The sequence below is a fragment of the Homo sapiens genome, chromosome 1 (genome assembly GCF_000001405.40).
Source record: "Homo sapiens chromosome 1, GRCh38.p14 Primary Assembly".
Lineage (NCBI taxonomy): Eukaryota > Metazoa > Chordata > Mammalia > Primates > Hominidae > Homo > Homo sapiens.
Genome location: NC_000001.11, coordinates 4,050,970 through 4,059,799, shown reverse-complemented (window position 1 = coordinate 4,059,799; position 8,830 = coordinate 4,050,970). Strand labels below are relative to the sequence as shown.

Sequence of the window (8,830 nt, the reverse complement as noted above, 5' to 3'; positions counted from 1 at the left end):
AAAGGACATGAACTCATCATTTTTTATGGCTGCATAGTATTCCATGGTGTATATGTGCCACATTTTCTTAATCCAGTCTATCGTTGTTGGACATTTGGGTTGGTTGCAAGTCTCTGCTATTGTGAATAGCGCCGCAATAAACACACGTGTGCATGTGTCTTTATAGCATTGTTTTCATGTTGTTCAGCTGCCAAGTCCGTGACGTGAGAGGCTCCAGAGCTGAGCGGCAGGTAGCGCGGGCTGCCTGGGTGTTAGCGCAGGTCCCGTTCCGCTAGGGTCGGGGTCTTCACAAGGGTGGGGACTTGGTGGCCCTGTTAGCAGGCCCCAGGCTCCCTGAGCATGGACAGCCCTGGTGCTGAGGACGGGGTCTCTCCCGGGGCATTGCTGTCATCTCAAACTGCAGGAAGGGAGACTTGGCGAGGGCAGCTGCTCAGCATCGGAGCTGTTACCACATGCCTGACGATGCACTTGAACCTGAGAGGTTTAGAAGGGTGGGGCACCCTGAACCCCCACATCCACACAGCTGCAAGGCAGGTCCCCATCCTAGACACGAGACCACCTGAGCTCCCGGCCCACTTGACACTTCCCCAGGGACATTTCTAGGTCTCCAGGAGCTGCTTGGCTCCGTCACCAGGCCCCTGGCCCCTCCCCAGGGCCCATGAGTCCAGAAACCAGCCCTGAGTGCTGAGTGCTTCTCTGCAAGGGACCAGCATTTCCCCTAAATACTCATGTGGGAGTTGCTGCCCAGCTCTGAGGCAAAAAGACAGGGCCAGCCTCCCCTCAGCCCCACCAGCCCTTCTTCCCATCCAGCCTCTAACCAGAGCAAGGTGGTGACTGCCCCGGAACAGAGCCATCCGGGGAAGAGAGGCCCCAAACCACAACTGCAGCCAGAGGCCCCTTCTCACCACCCACAACCACATGTGGGAGGGGCCTGGAGGCCAAGAAGGGGTCCACAGGTGGGCGGCATGAGTCCCGACATGAAGGTGAGGGGTGCTCCCCGGCTTAGAAGCCCTGGACAGATCCGACAATGGGGTGAGGGGCTGTCAGTGTTGGGGAGCAATGAGCCAAGGCGCACAGACACGGGGACCACAACCCGCCCTCCTCCTCCTCCCTCCACGCCCACCCCCAGTACACCCTGAAAGTGAAGTTTAACGAATTTTGTTTGGCAAAACTTCACCACTAGCGCTGCATCTGGGGAAACTGAGCCAGGCCACACACCTGTCAAATGGGTTCTTAGTTGGGGACAACAACCCCTTGGGGATGTCTGATGACCTCGGTGTGTCTCCACAGGTGAGCGCTCACGGACTGGCTTTGTGCTCCGTTCTGCAGCACCGAATCTCTGAAGCTTCGGGGGGAGGACCCTGGCGGGTGTTGGGTTCCTTAGTCCAGAACTTTCCTCCCCACTGGCCACCATGTTCCCTCAGAGAGGTCAGTCAGGCCCAACTGCCGCGTGGGCGGGACACACGGGAACTTGCTGGGTGCCCCCAAATTCAGAACCACACCTTCTCGGCGAGTCCCTCCACTGTCCAGGAAGGTGGTGGCAGTTCCACCCCAGGACAGAACAGTCACCTGCCTGGAGCCTCGGACTTGCTGGAGAAGCCCGAGCTTCCACAGAAACCCCAAGGGCTCTCTATAAAACAGGCTGGAGCAGGAGGATACCCATGTGGGCTTGGCACCAAGTGGGTGATTCTAGAAGAATCTTTGGCCTCCCCTGATCACCACTGAAAAGCAGAAAGGGACACCCAACTGTAGCTCGACATGTGGAAGGCATTTCCACCCAGCAGGGTTGCCTGAAGGCAGAGCAGAGCGGATCAACGATGCTCTCCTGGGAGGCTACCGGGGCCCTCCAGGCTGCAGCGTCTAGCTAGTTTGGGAGCTCTCTCACTTTTCCAGCATCTGTGGTTCTGGGATCGAGACACATGTCTGGGTGTTCCCACTCCATGGGGGCCTCAGAACATCACCTTTCCCTCCTCCCATCTTGACTGTGCTCTGACCCCGCCCAGGGTATGGAACCCAACAGTTTGGCCCCAGGAGCCATGAGGGACTGGCTGTGACCACCGACAGCTTCCCCATCTCCAGGCCCTACCTCCCAGGCCGATCACCCACAGCCTCGTCTTCTTCAGAAAAGCCTCAAGGGGCCTGGAATGTGTCCATCCCTCACATAGGAGATGAAAAATCGCCCGAGATGGACATGTCAGTTCTAATAGGAAATGATGATGTGGAATGAGGAGTTGTTTCTACCATCCCCAGTGATTTATAGGGACGGGCCTGTCATCAGAAACAAAATGTCTATTTTCAGCTCCAGATTCTAACGAGTGAATATATTACAATAACTTTATTAAAAAAATCAATGTACATCAATTCAGTTTTCAAGCTAATTGCCTTGCGAATGTTGCAGTATAGAAGCCCGGGCAGCTACATTATGCACCTGATTTATGCGGAGTGGGCCACAGATCATTCACCCGCTGCTTTGTTTGTTTCTGCTGGTGGAAGGTAGGAATGAGTGCCTCCCTGCCCAGTGCACCTGTCCTGGTAGGAGGGGAGCCGGTGAGGGCAGCCCCTACAGGGCTGGGCTGTCAGGGTCCAGGGGTGCCCTAACTTTACAGTATGCCAGTCATGGTGAGGATGGACGAGGGCTCCCCCTGCACCATGAAGACAGTGGGAAGGCAGCCCTGGGCCCTGAGGCCTTGGGCAGGCCCTCTCCTCTACTGCCTTCAGTCACTTCGCCTCCAAGGTGCAGACGATAGTGCCCCTGGCACAGGGCTTCCACGCAGTTCATCATGACACACATCATCACCATCATTGTCATTGTCATCTCATTGCTGCTGTTATTAAATACTCTAATTTCTAAATAATCATTGTTGTTCTCATGGCAAGGAGTCGTGAAATTCAAATGAAGTGATGTATGTGAAATTACTTAGTATGGCACTGTCTCATCTACATATGCAAATCACCATCAGCCCCTAAAGCACTGACAGGTACTAACCTAAAGTGTTTCTGACAAGCAAATCTCTGAGCACAATGTTTGCCCAGCAAGATGCAGGTGCCTCCTTCTGCTTTCCCAGGAACATGGGGTGTCCCCTCCTGAAGAGATCTCTGTGCCCCCAGTGCATGCACCAGGGCTGACAGGCCTGTGGGTCCGGACGCAGGGAAGAGAGAGACGTCCTGCCTGGTAGGGCCATGGGACAGTCTTGGCCTGTCCTGATCCTCGGAGGCAAAACGAGCCCTCACCACCCCTGCCCTTTCAGTACATTCAAGCTGCTATGGAGGAACACCACAGACGGGGAGGCTTGCAAACAACGGACGCTTATTTCCACAGTCTGGAGGCTGGAAGTCCAAGATCAAGGTGCCGGCAGATTCAGCTCCTAGGGAGGGGCCCCTGTATTAGTCCATTCTCACACTGCTATAAAGATAGGGTAATTTATAAAGGAAAGAAGTTTAATTGACTCACGGTTCTGCATGCCTAGAGAGGCCTCAGGAAACTTACAATCATGGTGGAAGGGGAAGGGGAAGCAAGGCATGTCTCACATGGCGGCAGGAGAGAGAGAGCAAAGGGGGAAGTGCCACACTTTTAAACAATCAGATCTCCTGAGAACTCACTCGCTATCATGAGAACAGCATGGGGGAACCACCCCCATGATCCAATCACCTTCCACCAGGCCCCTTCCTCGACACATGGGGATGACAATTTGAGACGAGATTTGGGTGGAGACACAGAGCCAAACCATGTCACTCCCATCCTGACTTGCAGACGGTGCCTTCTCACTGTGTCCTCACTGGTGGAAGGGGCCAGGCAGCGCTCTAGCCCCTCTTCTTATAAGGGCTCTCATTCCATTCATGAGGCTCCATCCCTACGGCCTCATCACTCCCCAAAGGCCCCGCCTCCTAATCCCATCACCCTGGGGGTTAGGATTTCAACCTATGAGTTTTGCGGGGACACAGACATGCAGACCACACCTGCCATGGGTGCTGTTTACACACAGTGGGGGACAGGGAGAGAAACAGGAGGCAGGGCTGACCACCGGCTCCACCAAACTCTGGGTCGGGACCTGGAACGATTCCCCCATGGCTCCAAGGGAGTTACCCACAGAAGCTAGGGTCCAGCCAGCCGGCTTCTCTAGCCTGGCCGAGGGCACGGCAGTTGCCAGCAGCCATTTCTGAGACGCTACCTCCACGGGTTGGGGAGAGGCTTGGGTCAGCCTCCACTTTCTCACCGAACCTTTGCTCTGTGCCTCATACACACGGTGCCACTTCCCTCCCTGAACCATCCCAGCCACCAGGCCAAGTCACTGGTGATGACCTGGGCCTGGTGAGGCAGACAGCAGGCCAGTAGTGGCACTGGGTGGGAGGCCACCTGCCATCAAGGCCATGGTGGGCACTATGACTCTAGACAGCTCACCTCACTCTCAGGGCAGGCTCCCGGCACAGGTCACCTACAAGCCAAATCCCACCTCCGCTAAGGAAGCCCACGGGACAGCTTCAGTATCTGAGTGTGTCTGGGCAGCTGTCCAGCATCAATGAGTTATAAGAGCACAGAGAGCTCATCGGGCATGGAGAGGGTGAGCTGGGGGGTGTTGAGCCCTTCACCTCTACCCTCTGCCCTCTGAGTCACAGACAACTGGCAGCTGAACCAAGAGCTCCTGCAGCCTGTGTGATGACGGGGAAGGGACTCCCTGCTCCTGGGGAAGGTCTTTTGGCCACAACCCCCAGGGAAGCCTCTCCCTTCTGCCACTCGAACCTGCTCAGAAACAACAGCCAGATGAGGTCAGCTCCACCTGCAAGCACACATCCCGCCTCCAGGAAGCCTCATCTGTCTGAATGTAATTAGTGGTGTGGGGAAGCTGCCTGGAACCGCATGGTAAACCTTGGTTCCGAGCACATTCATTCTGAGCAGAAGAGCAGGCTCCTTTGTAAGTGCCGTACATCTGACAGGTCAATTATTTATTAAGGGTAATGGAGTTTAATCTAAACAATTACTTCCAACTGGCTTCATCTTTGAATTATTTGAGTGAGCAAGGCACCATCGTGCACTGCCGGGGTGAGCTGAAAGCCTGCTGAGCACATGGCCCCGCCGCACTTGTCAGCCCTGCCTTTCCTCAGGCTGGGATTGGAGTGGTGTTGAAAGTCGAGAGAGAACGCCAGGAGCGGTGGTTCATGCCTGTAATCCCAGCACTTTGGGAGGCCAAGGTGGGTGGATCATGAGGTCAGTAGATCGAGACCATCCTGGCTAACACGGTGAAACCCCATCTCTACTAAAAACACACACAAAAAAATTAACTGGGTGTGGTGGCACCCACCTGTAGTCCCAGCTACTCGGGAGGCTGAGGCAGGAGAATCGCTTGAACCCGGGAGGCACAGGCTGCAGTGAGCCGAGATTGTGCCACTGCATTCCAGCCTGGGTGACAGAGCGAGACTCCATCTCAAAAAAAAAAGAAAGTCGAGAGAGAACAATGCAGAGAGAATCACCTTTGGGTGTGGTCATTGGCCCCTCCACGGAAGAGGATGCTGAGGTTGGAGATGATGGTCATTTTGCCCAAGGCCACAGAGCAAGACCAACAGCAGCTGGGGCCAAGAGACTGCAAACCCAGGCTCCTTCCCCAGCAAACACTGGCAGAGGGCTCAGCTGGGATCTTCCTGGATCTTCCAGATATTCCAAGGTGCATATTCATGGCTTCCAAGGGCATCATCCCATCCCTGAGTCTCCAGGTCCTGCTGGAAAAAAAAAAAAAAGTCCTTTTGCAAGTGAGGAGCTCTGGATCAACCCCAGCTCTGGGTGCACTTTCAGGCCAGACAGGCATGGGGGATGGCAGGCTGCACTCACTGAAACACCTGCCCCCAGGGCTGTGGCTGCTGCGCCCTCCCAACAGGCCCCGTCCACACCGCAGCCTGGAGATTCAGTGCCCCTCCTTCCCTCTGCACCTTGTCCCCTCCTGTGCCTGGCTAGGAAGCCAGGGGTGTGCAGCCTTGCTGCGGGCACCATCCCTGCAGCCTTTCATGAACTGGGAGCTTCTGGTGGCAGGCACCCGGGTGTCTGAACTGATTTCAAGCTGGGTGTGGACTTTCCATCTCATCTCCTGGGTGAAGTCAAATCAGGTGGGTCCCTGACTGTGGGCAAGCTCTGTCCAGTGGGAGAGAGAACCATCAGTGCCTCAGTGGGCTGCAGGAAGAGAGACAGGGGGCCAGTACAGATGCCTTCAGGGGTTCAGAGGGAGGCTGGGCCATGCAAGCAAGTCTTCGTCATCCTCATCCTGTCCGTCCCCATCCAAAGACAGCCGTGACCCTCAGAGCTCACCTGGACTCTGGTGGAGGAACAGACAAGTCAACAGAAAGCTGTGGTCCCACATGGTGAACACAGCAGGATGGGGGTGGTTGCAGGAACCAGGCGAGAGACCCTTAAGCCAAGCGGGGATTCAGGGGAGGCTTCCCAGGGGCAGGATCCTTAGGCTAAAACTGAAGGGTAGGAGTTAGGCAGGCAAGGAGGTGCCTGGGGAGTCCACGGGGTGGGGAGAGAGGAGGACTCCAGGCAGGGAGGAACAGCCTGTACATGAGGCATGGTGCGCTGGGCACCTGCCAGAGAAGTTCAGCGTGTGGAACAGAGCTGGGTGGGGGCTGACAAGGAAGGGGCAGGAGGGTGAGAGATGAGGATGGGGGAATCATGCAAAGAATTTGGGACTACATCCTGAGAGCCCTAGGGCTTAAACCAGAAAGGATATTCTTACAGTGGGGGCATTTGAAAAGGGTTTTGAAGGATGAGTAGGTGTTCCCAAGAAGAAAGATATGAAGCTTAACATTCCAGGAAGAGGAGGCAGAATGGACAAAAATGGAGGCGCATAAAAGAGCAAGAGGTCTTTAGGGGGGCTGAGCCTGGGGACTGGATCATAGAGAATCTGCCAGAAAACAGCTGAAAAGGAGGTAGGGTAGTGACAGGCACTGAATACCAGGTTCTGCAGAGTGGGGGTGCCCCTGAGGGTAGCGGGAAGTGAGCAGCAGTGTTTGTGGCGTAGGCCATTTTCACACTGTGTGTTAAAAAGATGAGGCCAGCAACCACATGGGAAACGAACTTGAGAGGTCTTGAGTTGGGGTTGGAGGGCAGGGATTAAATAGTCATCGGGAAGAGATGAAGCGGGCCTGAGAACAAACATACTTTTAAATGTGTATATTTATTGATTTTTTTCTTTTTCTTTTTTTTTTTTTTTTTTTTTTTTTGAGACAGGGTCTCACTCTGTCACCCAGGGTGGAGTGCAGTGGCACAATCTCAGCTCACCACAGCCTCCACCTCCCTGGCTCAAGGGATCTTCCTGCCTTAACCTCCCAAGTAGCTGGGATTACGGATGCGAGCCACCATGCCCAGCTAATTTTTGTATTTTTAGTAGAGACAGGGTTTCACCATGTTGCCCAGGCTGGTTTCAAACTCCTGACCTCAAATGATCCGCCCACCTCAGCCTCCCAAAGTGCTGGGATTACAGGAGTGAACTACCATGCCCAGTGAATTTTTTTTTTTTTTTTTTTTTTGATACGGAGTCTTGCACTGTCGCCCAGGCTGGAGTGCAGTGGCAGGATCTCCGCTCACTGCAAGCTCCGCCTCCTGGGTTCACGCCATTTTCCTGCCTCAGCCTCCTCCGAATAGCTGGGATTACAGGCTCCCGCCACCACGCCCGGCTAATTTTTTGTATTTTTAGTAGAGATGGGGTTTCATCGTGTTAGCCAGGATGGCCTTGATCTCCTGACCTCGTGATCTACCCGCCTCAGCCTCTTAAAGTGCTGGGATTACAGGCATGAGCCACCGTGCCTGGCTGATTTTTTTTTTTTTTAATCACCAAAGTGACACCGAAAGAAACCAGAGGAAAATTCAAATTTCCCATAATTTTACCACCACTGGGTGGTAATACCCACTGTTGGGGTGTTGCTGTTTATCCTCCCAGCTTTTGGTCCTAGGAGAAAATGCACGTTTTTAAAAAATAAAATAAAATAAAATAAAAAACTGGGATCCTATTGAACTCGGTTATACCATAACCTACTCATTCACTTAATATATTCTGAAAATAGGACAAACATTTCACCATGTCTCCCGATAAAAATACTGCCATTCACTGAAACAAGGTGACAAGGTGACTGGCCGCAGTTTCCAATGCTGCAGGGAGCACCCTCGAGTTGCCATGCACATCCCTGAGGATTTCTCAGAATGAACATTACTGGCGGTAGAGGCGCTGGGTCCAGAGTGAGGATGCCAGGTAGCTTTTGATGCCTGCTGCTCACCAGCTGCAGGGGAAATTGCACCATGTTCACCCCACCTGCCGTCTGCGGAACTCCCTGCTCCCCAGCACCCTGGTAATATGTCTGTGACATTGTTTGTTCACTGCCAATTTAATGAATAGCAGCCTCCGGGCTCAACTTCTCACTGTGAGTTTCTCTTGACTTGAGCTTGACCCTTCTCTGCAGCCTCGCTGGCCATTTCAGAGTCTGGGTTTGGGCACCATCCCTGCGTGTCTAAGCTCTCAGGGTCCCCGCACGTGCTGTTCCCCTGTCTGGAACACTTTTCCCCACCCCATTACAGGGCTGCCTGCCTCTCATCTGCAGTTTGGGAGACACTGTCCCGACCTGTCCAGTGAGGTGTTCTTCCCCGCCCAGGCACCAGCTGCGGCGCTCCATTCCAAACCTCGATCCTTTCTGATCCCCCAGGCTCCTGCCCAGCTGAGGGCTCCCAGGAGGTCTCATACCCAGTGCTGGCAACAGTCCCCACCATGGCAGGTGCTCAGTGAAGATTCCAGAGGAGGCCAGGCGCGGTGGCTCACGCCTATAATCCCAACACTTTGGGAGGCCAAGGCAGGCA

At 54.3% G+C, this 8,830-nt stretch overlaps 2 annotated features.

Moving 5' to 3' along the window:
- Positions 385 to 885: an enhancer, noted in NCBI's record as "H3K4me1 hESC enhancer chr1:4118975-4119475 (GRCh37/hg19 assembly coordinates)". NCBI's record gives its function as "activates a minimal SCP1, AML or CMV promoter by ChIP-STARR-seq in primed H9 embryonic stem cells {active_cell/tissue: H9 hESC(primed)}" and the evidence as "EXISTENCE:reporter gene assay evidence [ECO:0000049][PMID:30033119]".
- Positions 886 to 1,386: an enhancer, noted in NCBI's record as "H3K4me1 hESC enhancer chr1:4118474-4118974 (GRCh37/hg19 assembly coordinates)". NCBI's record gives its function as "activates a minimal SCP1, AML or CMV promoter by ChIP-STARR-seq in primed H9 embryonic stem cells {active_cell/tissue: H9 hESC(primed)}" and the evidence as "EXISTENCE:reporter gene assay evidence [ECO:0000049][PMID:30033119]".